This window comes from Homo sapiens, chromosome 1 (genome assembly GCF_000001405.40).
Source record: "Homo sapiens chromosome 1, GRCh38.p14 Primary Assembly".
Lineage (NCBI taxonomy): Eukaryota > Metazoa > Chordata > Mammalia > Primates > Hominidae > Homo > Homo sapiens.
The window spans coordinates 85358473-85377230 of record NC_000001.11 but is presented as its reverse complement, the minus strand read 5'-3'; the positions used below and the strand labels follow the sequence as shown (position 1 = coordinate 85377230).

At 37.3% G+C, this 18758-nt stretch overlaps 1 protein-coding gene across 8 annotated transcripts in view; it reads left to right on the top strand.

Moving 5' to 3' along the window:
- DDAH1 (dimethylarginine dimethylaminohydrolase 1) overlaps positions 1 to 18758 on the top strand; it is a 259716-nt gene that overhangs the window by 200970 nt on the left and 39988 nt on the right. For 6 of the 8 annotated variants that reach the window (XM_005270707.3, NM_001134445.2, NM_012137.4 and 3 more), the window contains one exon: positions 18384 to 18483. In XM_005270707.3, the coding sequence (XP_005270764.1) occupies positions 18384 to 18483 (100 nt within the window). Of the gene's footprint in view, positions 1 to 16693; positions 16783 to 18383; positions 18484 to 18758 lie in introns of all 8 variants that reach the window. The other 2 variants (XM_011541158.2, XM_047416630.1) reach the window with 1 other exon arrangement.

The window sequence follows — 18758 nt, the reverse complement described above, 5'->3', positions numbered from 1 at the left end:
TTTATCAGGAATCTTGTTAAACCGTAAACAAGGGGACTTGGGTTCTAATCCTGCTTCTGCCTCTGTGGCAGGGGAGAGTCATGCCAACCTACTGGGAGTTGGTCACCTGAGCTGTATGACCACAAATGTCTCTTGTGAGTTTTACATTTCATGATTCTGTGAACTAAATATCCTGTGCTAGTTTCTTTTCATTTAATTCTCCAGTCCAGAAATTTACCACACATATATCTGCATGTAGCTTTGACATACATTAGGTGATCACTTAATATTTGGTAAAGTAACAATGTGTTTTGCTACTTCAGATGGATTGTAAAATTACTGTAATTTTGCAGCTTTTTGTATTGGGGCTATTACTTATTTGTGTTGAATCACATTATTGTTGCTTTAACACTTACTCTCGGTGGCTTTGTGCATCATTTAGAGTTGGTTTTTATGCATTCTCACTAAGGTATTTCAGCAGGGAAGCTGCAGGAAAAAAAAAAAAACACTTTATTTTGCCTAATCTTGGGAACTCAAAAAATAGACACAAATATTTTCATAATCATAAGGTAATCCAGGGAGTGAATTTCACTTTTCTCCAGCTTGATTTTGCTAAAAAAAAAAAGACCATTCTGGATACACAGACAGCTTATTCCAAACAAGTTACCCTGTGAAAAGAAAAGCTTCTCCAACTCTGCTCACTGGAAAACTGCCTGGATGGAGGCAAGCGTTTAGTACCCTGAATTTGGAGAGACCTAGACTTTCTTCTAAAGCTCTAAGATGGATATAGAATTTAAAAATTATAAGAAAATAACTGCTGTTTGATGAAAGAATTTTAAAGTTAAGACATCTGTTTCCTTTATTTGTTTTCCATTACATATTTTCAGTTAATATCTAAATGGGGGATAAACTACTCATCAGGCAGGTAGTGTAAATAGTGCACTAGTTATTTTTAAATGCCTAATTCCATACGGTATCTATTCAGCTTTACATATTTTCAGTAGTTAACACCCTAATAGGAGTGGCTTAATAAGCCATTTACAATAGAGGCAGTTAATTAGTTATGCTATTAAAAAGCAAACTTTAAAGCATTTAATCCATTGTACATTATTGTTTGCTTTGAGAGGCAAACTTAAGATTTATAAGGTTCCAATTTGAACCCCAGAATAAATGAAGGTAAGGGAAGCCAAAACTTCCCTGGTGTTGAGGAAAAACCTTTGCTTTCTCACTTCCTATGAATAGCAGTATTGTCCACCACCATTAGTACAGGGGCACCAGGGCCTTGCCATTCCATGCTTGGGCTTGTTTTTATTTTTAAGGAATGTTGGAAAATTGTGGAAATGAATGTTTTTTCTTCCCTTTTTTCCTTAATACCTCATGGATCCTGACCTTTTTCTTTAAACTGGTTTAATACGTGTTTCCCTTAAGGTTGGTCATTGACCCAAAAATGAGTTTGAGTTTCTTTTTCCATGATCTCCTCTAAAGAATTCTGTTAATAGCATACTAAACTGGATTACAAACTTACTGAATAAGTGCTTTGAATTCTGGGCAACCTTGGAATAAAGGGCACAGAAAGAGTAATACTGCATAGAATGAAACTGGGCAAGTTGGTATAAAGGAAAGGAATGCAACTGTATGGCTGATGTGATCAACACCGTCTAGTAGGTTTATTAGCAATTTAATGGAATATGGCTATTCAAGCACAATAATGGCTTCAGTTGAAATGTCTGTTCTGCTCTTTTTCCCATACACTTTGGAATGAGTAGAATGTGACAGTTGAGCTTTCAACAAGCTTCATGAATTTTAAATCCTTTTTAGTTATAAAATGGGGTACATGGCATGTAGTCAGTGTGGACAAGGAGCTGGCAGCCTCATCTAGTCTTATGGAATATCAGGTGTCTTCAAGATAATGAGGGCTCGAGTTGACCAGGTGCATTCTGGGTTTGCTCTGTATATCCACAGAGAACAGAGGGACCTCTCTCTGTGCAACATCCAATGATTATTTTGCAGTTGTAAAGTTACTTTCTCAACATTTGCTGCAAGACCAACTTGATATCATCACAGAAGAAAACCTGTACTGATGTCTCAGAACAACTTCTTTTTGGCAGCTAAATATTTTTATTTTGTTCTATCTCTGGTTGATTCATGCATATTTAGAGAAGAAACACTGTGAATTGTGATGTAGCTTTTTATCCTCAAATTTTAACACCTATCCTAATTGATCCTTGAGTATTTCTTTAAATATTTAAATGTTTTATAAAGTTCTCAAATTATATTACCACCATAAAAGTCTGTATCTCTGCTTTGGGTTAGGTCTTGAAGTACTCTAAAATTCAATACAAGGAGCTTTACTTATTTTATTTGCAGTTACCTAACAACAAAAGACTGTTTTCAGAAGATAATTTTTTTCAGAAAATCTAATTTAAAGCAATCTCAATTTAAATAGTATGAATTTATTTTTAAATTGGTTTATAATAGTACCCTGTGTTCTATTTAACTATGTTTGTGCTTATAGTATAATTTTATAACAGTATGAGCAAAAAAAAAATTCTCATAAAAATACTTAATAGGAATGTGTTGAAGTTTGTGTGATAGATTATTAACAGTAAGTGTTATCTATGCATGGGTGTTGGGATTACAAAGATTTTTAATGGTTCTATTTGACTTATCTATACTTTCTAATTTCTCTACATTAAATTTGTGGGATGGGATATGTTACCTTTTTCACTTCAAGTCCAGGGAGAGTGGGCTTTAAATAAACCTCTCAGAGAGATTAAATATATTTTTGCAGTTTGGAAACACCAAGGATAGGTGTCTGGGAGATACAGAGGATTAGCAGCTGGTGACTAACAGGTTAGGTAGGAAGCCAAGAAAGTGCTACTGTGTTGGTCATAGCTGCACTGCCAGAGTTTGTAAACAAAGGATGTGCAAGTGTTTGCATGGACTAGAAATGGGTCATGTAGGAGAAAAAGTTGGTCTGGGGCTGTTTTGAGTTCAGTCTAAAATAATAGCCCAGGGAAGTATGGGGACTCCAACAGTGAGAGCCTGGATGGAGTAGACCACAGGTGAACCAGGGGTGGATAACCCAAGCAAAAAAGACTCTGGTAATACAGCTTCCAGTGGTCCAGTCTCCCCTATCTAGAGTCACGTTAGTATTTGGATGTTTAGAGTAATGGAAAGTACGCACTGACAAGCTGTGCCCCCTGCCTTGTGAACCAGAATGAGCAATGGTTACTGGAATTGTAGGTAGTAGATGAAGTTTTAAATATTCAGGCTTTGGGGTCCCAAGTATCTCTTAACTTCTTCCACCAGTGTCACATCAACCATTTTCCACCAACCAACCACAGCTCTTTGCATTTTTGCATATTTCCTTTAAGTCTTAAGAGGTATACTTAACAGGCATACTTAAAAAAAAATAGTTGCAATCCTAGTTTTTTGTGTCTTTTAACTGCTAAATTTACCCACATTCTTTTTGTTCTTAGAGCTGTCTCTTAGTTTCTCCCTGGGTATTTATAAGGATACTGTATTAGTCTATTTTCACACTGCTATAAAGATACTACCCAAGACTGGGTAATTTATACAGGAAAGAGATTTATTTGATTCACAGTTCCGCATGACTGGGGAGGTCTCAGGCAATTTGAAATCATGGCAGAAGGCTAAGGAGAAGCAAGTATCTTCTTCACAAGGTAACAGGAAAGAGAGAGAGTGTGTGAAGGAGGAACTGTTAAACACTTATAAAACCATCAGATCTCGTGAGAACTCACTCATTGTCACGAGAAAAGCATGGGGGAAACCACCCCCATGATCCAATCATCTCCCTCCCTCAATGCTTGGAGATAACAGGTCCCTCCTTTGATATGTGGGACATGGAGATTACAATTTGAGATGAGATTTGGTTGGGAACACAGAGCCAAACCATATCAGATACTCTTTAGTTCACTGCACAGATTCTAAATGACATTGAGCACTAAAGTATGTTACATTGTGCCCTGAAGACCTGAAAGAGTTAATTTACTTTTCAAAGTTCCTGTGGTACTATCCAGGAGGAAGTGAAGCAACAAGAAAAATCTAGCTAACTATATAACGTCAATAAGAAATACTTCACTTATATATTTGCATAATACTGAAATGCATTTAGTTTTGACAGCATAAACAGAACTGTGTTCACTAGGGACTTATTTCAAGATTTGAATATCAACTTATGTAATATTAAATTTAGTTAAGATACATCAGAAAAATTTTACTAACTATACCCACTATTAAACTAATAGTGGTTTTTTGCCGACAGATTGTGTGCTTTGTTCAACTGTAGGCTTTGTACATTTCATAACACGCACATTCCTGTTCTGAAATGGAATGCACCCGATCTATAATAAATCTGCTTGAGAGACAATGGATCCTAGCCAGCTCTGCCTTGGTTCAAGGAAAAAGACAGTAAATAGGGGGCAATGACATTTATGAGAATCTAATTTCATTATACTCTGCCTCATAGGAAGAGAATCTAGATGGTGTTGAGGTTATCGTACTTTGAGTATTACTCAAAACCAGATATGAAGTACCTTCTGTGTTATATTCCTAATGGTTATTCCTCCAATGAGTGTTTTACTTAAAAATTAGTTAATATTTAGTGATAAATTAGAAGTAAAAAATAACTTTTTTAAAAGGAGAAAAAAACTATAATGGCAAGAAAAATATGGCTTACCATATTTTTTAAAGTAATTTAGGAAAGGCAAAACTCATTAGCTAGATGATAATTAGTTTTCCTTGGTAGAATATTGACCGGAATGTTTCTATTAGGAAAATACTATTGAACTGTTCCAGTCTTTTCCAGCTGAGGATGCCCAGATTTGATAATAGTGAAGAAAAATTCACTATTTTTTAACACAATGTTAGAACACGGACAGTTATCAAAACCTAGGACAATTTCTTGAAACTAGCCATTTTGTACAACTATGGTTGGAAATGAGCCTTTACTTAATATTTATAAGCATCCAAATACTCAGCTGGTGTTTTTTCACTAACATATTTTAAACAAGTTCCCAGAGAAGCAAATGTATGAACATATGACAAAGGGTGAATATTTACAAAATCATTTGCCATGCTTCAGCCTGGAATCAGAAGGCAGCTTCTCAGAATTAATTACTATGCACTCTGCTTATCCTGACTAGGGCCTTTCACAACCATCTCTAATGAAGGCTTTAATAACACACAAAAAAGCTAAGGACTAGGAAGGAAAAAAAAAGCAGCAAAATTCCCCCCCAGAAATCATCCCAGTGTTCCAAAAACCATCTTGCATATCATGCTCAAACCCAGGGCAATGTAGAACAGTCAAAAAAGCACCAACTTGTACCAGCTGTTGAGAAAGCTCCACAATTGGTGAAAAATTAGCAAATACAATATTTTTAAAAGAAATGCAGCCTTACTTATGCAGCAATCATTGAGGATATACTAATGAAGTGTTTCTCAGTTCAGATATTTAGGGGACCTACTTGAATAAGTGAATATGAATGTGTTTTAATTAGCACAGCAAACTTTCATTTAGTCCTATGGTGCTATACAGTGTGAATGTATTTTGGACTGACTGATCTGAAATGTGTTTGAAAGTTGTTCTTGCTATATAGCCTTGCCTACACTATTGATTTGCTTAATGCACTTCAGCTTGTCTCCAATTCAAGTGATCATAATTTCAAAATTGATTTCTGAAATAATAAAATCTTATGCTACTGGTATGGTTGTTTTTTGTTGTTGTTTGAGGTAGAGTATTACTGTGTTGCCCAGGCTGGAGTGCAGTGGCTATTCACAGGTGTGAACATAGTGCACTGCAGCCTCAAACTCCTGGCCTCAAAGGATCTCCCTACCTCAGCCTCCCAAGTAGTGAGGCTTCAGACATGTGCTGCTGTGCCCAGCTTTACTGCTATGTTTTATAGCATCTACAAAACTGAATTTAACAAGAAAATGTACAAGCAAGTGGCAAGAAGTAGCACTTGATGACTTCACTACCTGTTACCTCTGGAAAGTTCATTACAATCCATTTATTTGTTTCCAGACCTTTGATCTAGATGGCATTGGTGCAATCATAATGAATGTACGTTAAGTAGCTCTTCCTGCCAAAGGGGGATTTTTGCATCCATTGCTGCAAACAGCTACCAAACTTCGCAACAGTAATGAATGAGCAATGTCTCCTGGAGTCTTTTTGTTAGAATAGTATTGTTAATATTAATGGACAAGGCAAGTTTCCTCACATCACTTCCTGCAGATCATGGTTTGAGTTAGCTCTTCTGATATCTCTTAGATTTAAGTAACTTTTTGTATCATTGACTCCCAATTTTTATTTCTGGTTCTGACTACTCCCCTTGATCTCTCCATCTGAATATCTAGAAGTCATTTCAAACTCAGCATGGCCACACAGTTCTTCAATTTTTTCTCTCCAGCCTTGCTCCTCTCCCTGGAATTTTTCATATTAGAAATCAGTACACCTATCCACTCAATTGCTCAAGACAAAAATCTAAAAGTCACCCTGGGCCCTTCCTTTCCTTCACCCCCACATCCAATCCACCAACTTCCGTCCACCCTCCAGAACACATTCCAAATTCAGCACTTTCTTTGTCTCCACTGTCACCACACTTGTGCTCACCACCATTTCTTTCACCTGGACTACTGCAGTTGCTTTTTAACTAAGTTCCCTGTTTCCATTTGTGCCTTCCAATCCATTTTCCACAAAGCAGCTATCCAGAATTTGTAAATTAAATTATATCACTCCCTTCCTGCAGACTCTCCAGTGACTTCCAATAATACTTAAAATTCCAATTCTTTATGTGAGTTTACCAAGTTCAGCTAACCCCATCTGGCAACCCCAGCTTTATCTGGTAAAATGCCATATTAGTTTGCTAGTACCACTGACTGGACATCTTAAATAACAGAGATATATTTTCTCACAATGCTGGAGGCTAGCAGTCTGATATCAAGGTATTGGAAGGGTTGGTTTCTTCTGAGGCCTCTGCCTGGCTTGCAGATGGCCATCTGTGTCTTCACATGGCCTTTCATCTATGTCTCTTTATCCTAGTCTGCTCTTCTTATAAGGACACCAGTCATAATGGATTAGGGCCCATCCTAATGACCTCATTTTAACCTGATTATCTCTCTAAAGACCCCATCTCTAAAGGCAGTCACATTCTTAAGCCCTGGGAGTTTTCAACATATGAATCTTGAGGAGACACATAGCCCATAACACTTGCCCTCTTCATTTTAGCACTGTGCTAGCTGTCTTCCTGTTCCTTGAACAAGTTAAGCTTGTTCCCACCTTAGGGCCTTTGCACTGGCTCTTGTTGGAACATTCTTCCTATGGGCAACAGAGTTGGTCCTTTTGGTCACTCAGATATCAGCACAAATGTCACACTTTCAGAAAGGCTGTTCCTGACCTTCCAAACTACAGTAACTACCCTAGCCATTTTATATCACATCTCCTGAATTAAATAACTGCATAGCACTTACCACTAATATTTTTAATGTTTATTATTTATTGCCTATCTCTCCATATCCTCACCAGAATATACACAGGGCTCTTCTCTCTTCGCTGATGTATTCTTGGAACCTAGAATAGTGCCAGGTATATTGAAAATGCTGAATAAATGTTTGTTGAATGACTAAGCAAATGAACAGAATTACTGGAGATGAGTGGCGGTTAGTGATTATTGGGACAAATAGGCCAACGGTAGTTTTCTCACCTGCGGGTTTTTAGAAATAAAGATGAATCTTCCCACCCTTGAAATGTCGTAAGAGTTGTTTAAAAGAGGTCACAGAGGTTGTATGGCTCTTGCCGTGGCTATGCCCTGTCTAAACAAGGTGGATATTTTTGCCGTATACTTGTTTATAACATTTCCAGAAATTCTGTCTGACTTACAAAGTTGTTCAGCTGTTCATTCAGTAAACATATACAGAGAGTCAACTAGGGGCCAGAACTTGTTAATAGAATGCCCCGAGCCTGGGCAGCATAAGTAGACCCCATCTCTACAAAAAAAAAAAAAAAAAATTGGCCATTGGGCACACACCTGTAGTCCCAGCTACTCAGGAGGCTGAGGTGGGAGGATTGTTTGAGCCAGGGAGGTTGAGGCTGCAGTGAGCCATGATGGCACCACTGCACTCCAGCCTGGAGGACAGAGTGAGACCCTGTCTCAAAAAAAAAAAAAAAAAAAAAAAGAATCCCCTGGGAGCCATGGGAGCACACAGAAGGAATCTCTGACCCAGCCAGGACCTACATTTGGGCTGGGAGCAGGGATATGCTGGATGGCTTTTAGGGCAGCTTAATGCCTGCAATGTATAAATTGTATACTGAACATACAAAATATTTCCCATACATTAATCTGTTTGTGTCTGGCAGCATGCGATTCCTCTGAATTCACAGAAAATTATGAACACTTCGAGTACTATTTCTGGTGCTTATTTTGGATCATGTGCACAGCAAATTTTTATGCTTCTCAACATTCAGGAAAATTAGTTTAGAATTTTATAAACTTGTCAGTTCCCTGGTTTTTAGCCTACTAAATTTTGCAGGTCTTTTGGCAGCTGACACTTATTTTAATTTGGTATTTGGTGATAAATCATATTTTTATTTGCCCCCTGCAGACAGAACGTCAGTGGCTTTTAAGTACTCAATACATGTATTGTATCATTATCGTCAACAAGGAATTGAACCGCTTGAATTAGTACATTATATATCAAGAGAGCTGACAAGACCAGCAGAGCTCCTGCCTTGTTTTTCATTTAGAAAGCTAAATGTCACTTCCAGCCTTCTTCCGGGAAACTGTCTTGTAGTGACATCGTTATGGAGGGACCTTTGAACCTCTGGAACTTTCTCAGTGTATTCTCCAGATAATGAAAAGGGTCTTTCCTAGTTTTGTCCAGAGTGCTTTTTATTTCTCCTGGCTCCGTGGGTTTGCCTTCCACATTTCTGTCTAATCTTCCTAGATGCTATATGCCCTTTGGATCTGAGCACTGGTTCAGAGATGAAGAGTGTTGAAATATTAATTCCAGCTCTGATATACAGAGCTGCAACAATTGTGCTTTATAAACTAACATAATCCTGGGATGCTTTTAGTTTGACAATCTACTGTCTTCTATAGGCAGGATGGTCTTAGTGTTGTAAGTGGTTATAAATAGCATGGTGCATTCCTATAAACAGAAAAAAATCCTCCATTAATAGTTGTTTCTGTATCAGAATTTAATCAGTTTGATAAAGTGGCCTGTTATTACTGACTCTTTGGATACTACTTGTCAATTTTGTTGTATACCTAAATGAGTTACTTTTAGCTGCAGCTAACAGAAAACTCAAATTGGTTAATAAAATGAAAAATCTTATATATTAAGAACTCCAGGGCTCTAGGGTTGGATTTGGCAGCTCAAAATGTCATCAAAGGCTCAAATTGCTTCCCTCTCTCTGCCCTGCCATATTTGATGATGGATGTGTTCTCACCAGTTCCAGGTACAACATCTATACAGAACAATGTCCAAGGGAAGAAGAGGAATTATGTTTCTTTCTATGGCTCCAGGAACCTCTCAACAGACACCCCCTCAGTGGCCAATATTGGGTCACTTGCACCAGACCCTGGCATAAGAGACAGAACTGCCATGCCTGATTTAGACTGGGAGGTACCTTAAGGAATATGGTGATAATTAAATGACATAATCCATGCAAAATCACTTAGCACAATGCTTGGCACTTAGAAAGAGCTTAATAAATTGTATTTATTATTAATGATAGTGTTATGAGTGGTTAAGAGGTTCCTCAAACCTTGTTGATACTGATTGTGTGTTGAGGAGATAAAGATAACAGGGATCACCTGGGGAAGCCCATCTACTCAAATCCTCAGAGCGCATAGCAGGACCCTACTCATAGGAAGGGAATGGGATAGGTAACTAGAACAGGACTTCAGGGAAAAGAACCAAAGCAGCACCCAGGTATATGGTCAGGAGTAGGACAAAGCAGAAAGAATGACTTGACCCTGTGTCTCAGAGCATCGGCCTGGAGCTTGTTAGATCCTTCTTTTTCAGGTTAAGATCGATCATGGGAATAAATGAGTTATTTTTAGGTGCAGCTAACAGAAAACTCAACTCAGATTGGTTTGGGAAATGAAAAATCTCATATATCAAGAACTCCAGGGCTCTAGGGTTGGATTTAACAGCTCAGTCCAACTTAGGGAATGAACCCAAAGTTGATGAAATCTACTATACTGCATGTGAATATAAATAAGAAAACACACAAAGGTTGGCAAATAAGCAGAGCCTGACGTCTCTCTTATAGGAAAAGCATTGTAGATTCTCTGTGTCATATACTTATCTCACTACTGGCAAGTAATTAGCATCCTTGGAGAAACTGTGTGATGGGTTCTTCCAAAAAAATAAAATATAAGTATCATAAGTTAGTGTTGAGTTGACACACTCTTTGTTTCCCACTGCATTGGAATCTTCTGTTTGCCTCTGAGGATTCCCATCTTTCTGGAGTTTTTTTAATCCACTTTTAGGTTTGCCCTATCTTGTCTGCATTCATATATCCAGCCTCTTGCCTCTGATTGGATTTGGTTAAACACCAGAATACTTTACTCATGAGTAACCATCTGGGGTATTTTCAGTAAATTCTATGGGAGGAAAATAGGATTACAGTTAGAGTCATATTTATGAATGCCAAAATTTTTTCTGAGACTGCAACTTTTAGAAGTCTAGAGCCGGAAATGACCTCATTTTTAAGCTTTGTGCCCTCCGTTTACTAATATGGAAACCAAAATGCTAAATATCTTGGTTAATTTTTAGCAGTTTCCACTAGAAATAAACCCATATGTTTGGAAATCCAAGAAATCAATGGGAAAAAATGAAATGGGTATGTAACAGTCTGTGGGAAATGTTTCAAGAGATCTTATTCATGTAAAAGTTATAACAAAAGTTCAATAAGAGGGAAAATGAGCTAAATGGTTATAAAACTTTAACACGTATTGACCATTTGATAAAATCATGAGTTCTCTGAATAATCACAGGGTTAATATTTATTTGACTTTGATAACTTTTAAAGATTATCGTGATTAAATAATTTCCAGTTCTGTTGACCATTTTTGTAGGACTAAGGCTCCCATTTGATTTGTTGGTTGTTTTGTTTTTTTTTTTTTTACCAGCTATCAGCCGAGAATTGCTCTCAGTTCCCAGAGGCCACCCTGTAGGCCCTCTTCAGGCAATTCACAACATGGATGTTTACATTCTTCAAAACAGAAGATCAGAACATCTCTCTGACTTCTTTGTCTCTAACCTTTAAACCCACGTTTAAGGGTTCTCCTTAGGTCAAGCCCACCCAGGGTAATCTCCCTTTGATTAACTCAAGTCATCTAAGTAGATACTTTACACCTGCAAAATTTCTTTACTTGTGCTATGTAAAGTAACCAATCACAGATATGATATCTTCATCATATTTACAGGTCCTACTCACACTCAAAGGGGGAGAGATTTATACAGGACATGTACATCAAGGGGGCAGCAATCATGGGCACCATTTTAGAATTCTACCTACTATACTTCCTAGTGTGGTAGAAACCCTTCTCATCTCTCTAAATTCATCACTTTTGTTTGGAGTGTATATAATGTCTTGGTTTGGAGTGTGTCTGCATATCCATATGCTTTGGTAACCTCACTATTTAAAATACACTGTTGACTACCTAAAGATTTTTACACAAATAACTAACTCCTCCTCATACTCTGATGAGAAAGTAGTGGCTCCCAAAATTTATTAGCCTTAGTTTGTGTATGCTTAGAAAAGCAAAATTTAGACTGTTTAGAAACCAAATGCAAGTTCAGACTGCTGCAATTTGTAGCCTCTATCCTTCCATTTCTCCAGAATGTCTGAGTCCACATTTTTGTTCAATAAATAAATAATAGTGAACATAATCTGTTTTGGAGAGTACTGTAGCTCCTCACAGTCACTCGATTTCATTGTAGATACCTAAATTTGTTGGTTAGTAACAATATTGTGTAGGAAAGAATAACACAAACTTAAGAGCAAAGCTAAGTTGAAATCTCAGCTCTCTGCTTACTTGCTATGAGACTTTGATCAAATTTACTTACTCTGCCCCAGTTTTCTCATCTGTAAAACAAATCATTCTTGTACTTGCTTCATCAGGTTGTAAAAGTTAAATAAGGTTAATATGAGTTCATAGTAGAGTGCCTGGCACATAGGAAGACTATATAAATGTTTGCTGTTACCATTGCTAACTAAATTCCTTCTGAGAGCTTTGTCCTAAAATTAGAATATAGAAGAGGATCCCAATATGTTTTTATTTAGAAATTTTTAAGACCGGATCATTGAGTACACAAAATGTCTGTTCGATCCCTTTTTGTTGGTAGTTTTGGCTAGTTTTAGTAGTCAACACATACAGCCAGGCATGGTGGCTCATGCCTGTAATCCCAGCACTTTGGGAGGCTGAGACAGGCGGAACACCTAAGGTCAGGAGTTCGAGACCAGCCTGGCCAACAGGGTGAAACCCCGTCTCTACTAAAAATACAAAATTAGCCGGGTGTGGTGGCACAAGCCTGTAATCCAAGCTATTCGGGAGGCTGAGGCAGAATTGCTTGAACCTGGGAGGCGAAGGTTGCAGTGAGCCAAAATCATGCCATTGCACTCCAGCCTGGGCAAAAAGAGTGAAACTCTGTCTCAAAAAAAAAAAAGAAAGTAATCAGCACATATGGACAAATTTAGGAATGAACCACTGAACAAACCTAAGGCATCTCCAAATCAAAGGGTAGTAATGAATATGCAGGTTTTTCTTGGTGAAACAGGTTGGTGTGGTTTATATATTCTGTTCATATTACTTAGTGTTCTTAATCACTCTATAACTTAACATCCTAAGGCCCTAATATACAGAAATTTCATTTATCTCTGATATGAAGAGATCATGGAATACAAAGTCACCTTGGCACAGGATCTTACAATATCCAGTGGACTTAAATGTACAGAATTGGAAGGCAGAAGGCATGGGCTCCAATTCTGATGTGGGCTGCACTCTATGATGAGACCTCAGGAGAATCTTAATCATACAGTGAAGTGAAAATGAGGATGGGCTCCGGAGGCTTGACTCGGCAAGTCAGTCAACCTCCCTTAGCCTCAGTTTACTCATATATAAAATGGGTATACTAATATCTACCCTTTCTTCTTTTTGGAGTTATTGTGAGCATCACAACAAATATTCCATTTTATTGTCACTATATATTCAGAAGGTGTATCTGTTCCACTAGATTAATTTCACAGAGGCAAGCAAGGGCTGTGGCTTAAAAAAAAGAATTGTAGCCTGATTTGAAAAAAAAAAAAAAAAAAGTTGACATCCACCAAATATTTGTTGAACTGAGATGTTATTCACATGACAAAATATGTGTGAAAATGTGATACAACATTAAGCAATGTCATAAAATCAGCCAAGTGTACTAGCAAGTGGCCACAGTGACCAAAGATGTGCTGATTAACAAAGAAGTTTAAAGTAGCATAAAGAAATAAAATGTGGTCTTTTGAATATGACCTCAGACAATATAGTGATTTTGATGCATCAGCAAGTTCCAAGCCATCTGTGCCTTGATGTGCCAAGACAGCTTCTTGAACAGCTTCCTCAGCATTATCTACATGTCACACTCAACATTAAAAGGCAAAACAAAATCAGCAAAAAGTTGGGAGATGAAACCATCTCACTACCAACAAAGCTATGTTGCTACTGTTCAACTCTCTGGAGCTAGACAAGTGTAGGGGTAGAATGATTCTATAATTTTAAAGCTCCTGTAATGTGATGAGTTACAAAGAAACCAGGACAACTTAAGCAGGCATTGAAAACATAGTGGTGACATTGGTGATAGCACAGCTTCTAGCACATGGCAGAACTGTGGTTGACTGAGACATGTCAGCCACAGACAGGCCAACTTTGAGGGCCACATTTATTTCATAGTATCTAGCAGCAGAAACAGCTGAAGGAAAGCAGCTTGGCTAACAGATTGGTGCATATTCTTTAAGGAGCCATAGCTCAGAACTGTTCACCAGGCCCCACAAGCACATTCACAACATTTAGAACGAAGATGTGAAACATTCAAAAGGGGCATTACTGAAAATAAACAGCAAAAGTCAATTTTGGAAAGGGTCAACTGGAAAATATTGCCCTGAAATAAAGAGTATTAAACTAACAGTGCTATAACAAGTTATTATGAATATAGCTTCCTAGTAAAACTATATAAGGCTTTATTTTTGTTTTGTTTTATATTAGGGAGAGTTTTGGGTTTTTTGGGAGTTCTTTTAGTATTTTAGGTTTGAGGGAGATTTTGCAAGAACAAAAGGAAAACTGAACTTAAAAGATGTTTTATTTAATACAGAAAATTGTATTTTTTATCTTTTACTTGTTTTTGAAAGGTAGCCAAAATCCAAACAAAGGACTGAGTTAATTTAGGGCAAAATAATAATATCATCAACTACTAGTTTTGAGCACAATATGCCAGGCACTGAGCTAGGTGTTTTACATGTATTATCTTATTTGTTACTCACATAATCCCTGTTAGAGAGAAAGCACTATTCCCATTTGCAGGTCAAGAAACTGAGACTCAGAGAGGTGAATTTATCCAAGTCACATTGCTAATAAGTGATAAAGACTTTATTCTAATCCCTGGTTCTTGCCACTCACCATGAAGGTCTAAAGGGAGTGAAAAGAGAAGACAGGATAATCATGAAAACATGATAGGATGGAAATGAGAGCCGTAAAAGAAGGAAAGAAGAGAGTAGAAAAGGGAAGGGTAAGGAAGGAGACCAGGCATTGAGAAAGAGAAAGAATTCTTTAGACTGATTGGGTCCCTTAGAGTGGTAATATTCTCAGTGACCATGATCATTCCATATCATCTTAGCTGATGCTCTTTTGAGTCCTGTGGAACATCTTACCAGACAGGCCCACTTCCCACCTTATGTAGTACTTTCCAAGGGCTATTTCAAAGCAGAGGTTACACAAGAAATTTGCCACATGTCTTGACAGCTTCCAGGAGCTGGAAGGAAATCAGATTTGGATTATCTAAATTTAAATTTAAATGTATCCTCAATGTATGTTCTCTAACTGTATACTGGCTTTGCAAAAAAAAAATCTATAATTTTAATTCACAGGAAAGCAGATGGGATCTGTCATGGAGGGATAAAACACAAGAAACATGTCCAAATATAAGAAAAAACAACAGTTGTTTTCTTGTGCACTAATTTTATAGTACAAGTATCTGTCACTGTGTATACACAAGCTGTTATTCATAAAAAATACAATATTTATTCAGCAAATACTGTGTGACTTGTATGTATTTAATGACCAGAAGGAGCCTAAAAAGTTGATACTATAATGAATAAATACCCACTTTAAAGGTGAGAAAACTGAGGCTCAGAATACTAAATAACCTGAGGACACTGGCTAATAAGTAGCAGAACTGGAAGCAGCAGAGGTGATCTGCAGCAGCTGTGACCAGAGAAGAAATCTATGCTGTGATAAATAGTATGAGGAGAAAAATGGGGCAAAAAATGCAAGTATAACATTGTTTTAAAATGAAATGCAAAGTGCATGTAGCATGAAAAGGGAGGGAAGAAAGGTCTTGTAAATCTTTTGAGTAAAGAATGAAAATTACTGTATATACTTTATACTCTAAGGCTTAAATTAAGTAGGTTGTTTTTCTAATTTTCCCTTTTTATTTCTAATTTTGTGGGCTAAAATGACCCATTCAGCTCAGCCGTTGGAATTAATACTGTTTGTCCTGATGGTTTCTCTGAGTAATGCTAAGTTCCACACTGCAGGGTTACTGTCTCAATGAAAGGTGGGTGTGTTATTTGGTCATTTTTTTTCCTCTTGGAAGTTAATAAAGTCAACATTAACCATGGCCATGTAACCACAGAATGGGCAGTTTCTTAAAGGCTCATGGTTTGGATCTTTTCCTGCAAAAACTCCCACTTCTATAGTTATATTTAGTGTTCTAACTGCCTGAATAGCTGGCTTGCTATGGACCCATGTGTCAGGCCTGTTTGCAGCTGAGTTTGTCTGCTTCAACGGAACCTCAATGCCAAGAGTGTGTGGTTCCCAATGGACAGCCTGCCGAGTTCAGCCTCTCATTTCTTCTCCAGAAATCTCCCTCAGTTTAGCATTGCCGATTTGATGCCATATGGCCCTGCAGTTCTCAAAACTGTTTACTTGATATTTACAATTTTTTAAAAATCTTGTCCATGTGCTTAACTCTGAAAGTAATGTAGTATCATCAACATGTGTGGTATGGACCTATCCTGATGACTGTTTGTATAGATGTGATTGAATTTTTTTAAGTACTGCCCCTGCACAAGAGCTAGTTTTTTTAATGTCAGTGCAGCTGTTTTAACTTGAAAAGAAAAGAAAAGCACAAACATTTTATCCTCTAAAACTTTTTAATTTTCAAAGACATAGGACATTTAAAGAGATGTAATGTTTCTGAAACTGGTATATAGTAGACTCCCTACTTCTATTCTCCTCTAACTTTTAAGAATTGAATACAGTTCCTGAGTTGAAATGTTGCATAGTTACATACAAACTTTTCAAACCAAAATTTATGTTATTGCTCAACTCCTCCTAATCTTTGAAATGTTAAGTTATAATAGAAGCAGTAGCATTAGTAATAGAAACAAAAAGTAACTGTATATCTGTTCTCATGATCTCTCCCTAAGCTCAGTGAATTTTCCATGGACAAAGAAGCAGAGATGTCAAAAGGAAACAGTTGTGTTTTCCTGGGTTCATAGTAGCCCAACAAGTCATGGTAAATATTGTGTTTGCTCCTTATTTTATGCTGTAGCAACAATTCCACTTCCTATTACATAGGAAAACCTATTCTGCTGTTAAAAGAGGTCACTGAATGTATTTACTACAACATTAAGACCATTTTGTCCATGGAAATATTTTTTATTGTTCTGAGTCACTCTGGTTTGTGGAATTTTTACATGAGTTCCAGGACAAGGATGAGATGATATATTTATTTTACTTTGTATCCTCTTTAAATGTTTTTTGAATGCATGAATGTCAGGCTTGTTGTCAAAGTATTTCCATATTTTTATTACTTTAGAAGTAACTCTGCTCTATTTGTGTCTCTTAAACTCTTCACTGACAATTCACACTGTGTACTCAGCATGTTGTATTTTTGGAAGAACTACCTGCTTTGCCCAGTGTGATGTGATCTCTTGTTCCCTTGTCCCCTATTCGAGTCATCTCATTGTATGTCTTTACTATCCTAAAGGTTTTGCAGACCTTTGAAAATATTTAAATTGTTTTGTTGAGCTACTGGAAGGACTTGAATTAAATTGTGAGCTTCAATTTGTTATGCTTCACATTCATTTCTTATATTAAAGTAAGCCTCAATAGAAGTGTTCCTTAATTCAACCCAGAATATCTCTGTGCTTTAGACATGCCCTGGAATCATACAAATTCCTGAAATTTATTTTCAAATATTCATTGGTTTGATTGTAATTGTTGAACTTGTTAATCACCTCTAAGGAACTAGGTTTTAAAAGATGGGTAATCATATTAACTGTTTGAATATAACTAACACAGTTTACATTTACAGAGAAGCAAAGGATGTTTTGACATTTTACAAAATATTTGAATAGAAAACAGTGATTGTCCTATGGGTTGAGATTTCAAATTACGAGTTATTGATATTCCTTCCATGTATTATACTGTGTGTGTGTGTGCAATTCTGACTAAATGACTGACATAAGATTTAAAATGGAATCTTGTATTTCCTGGCAAGGGTAGGATAATTGGGTGCTTTGCCTCCCACCTTCCTTTACTCATGTGCCCTAACTAGTCAGCCTCCAATAGTGTGCTAACTGGTCAGAATTGGGTGCCTTGCCTCCCACCTTCCTTTACTCATGTGCCCTAACTAGTCAGCCTCCAACAATGCCCTAACTGGTTAGCCTCCAATAGTGTGCTAACTGGTCAGACTCCAGCAATATCCTAACTAGTCAACCTCTAACAAATGCCCTAACTTGTCAGCCTCCAACAGTGGCCGAACTGGTCAGCTTCCAATGGTGCATTAACTGGTCGTACTCCAACAGTGTCTTAACTAGTCGGCCTCCAACAGTATTGTAACTACTCAGCTTTCTACAGAAAAAAATGACACTGTATTGACTCAATCTTACACTAGAAGGGAACAAAATAAACAATTTTTAACAGATCATTTCTTCTCTTACAAATGATCATGACTGGTCATACATTATATATTCACAAGGATGGGTGTGTATATGAGTGTGGATGTGTGTGGGTGTGTGCACGAGAGCTTGATTTAGTGTTTAGATGTTTTGGATGTTTTTTTCTTGTTAGGAAATTGTAGCATAGTAATCTGAATCATTTTATTTTCAACAGGTTGACATGATGAAAGAAGCATTAGAAAAACTTCAGCTCAATATAGTAGAGATGAAAGATGAAAATGCAACTTTAGATGGCGGAGATGTTTTATTCACAGGTATAGTTGTATTTATTTTTTCTATCCAAGAATATTTTTAATACTTGGCTTGTATTTACTTGTTTTATTATAGTTTTTTGTGTTTTTTTGTTTTTGTTTTTGAGACAGAGTCTCGCTGTCACCTAGGCCGGAGTGCAGTGGCGCCATCTTGGCTTGCTGCAACCTCCGCCTCCTGGGTTCAAGCGATTCTCCTGCCTCAGCCTCCTGAGTAGTTGGGATTACAGGTGTGTGCCACCATGCCCAGCTAATTTTTGTATTTCAGTAGAGATGGGATT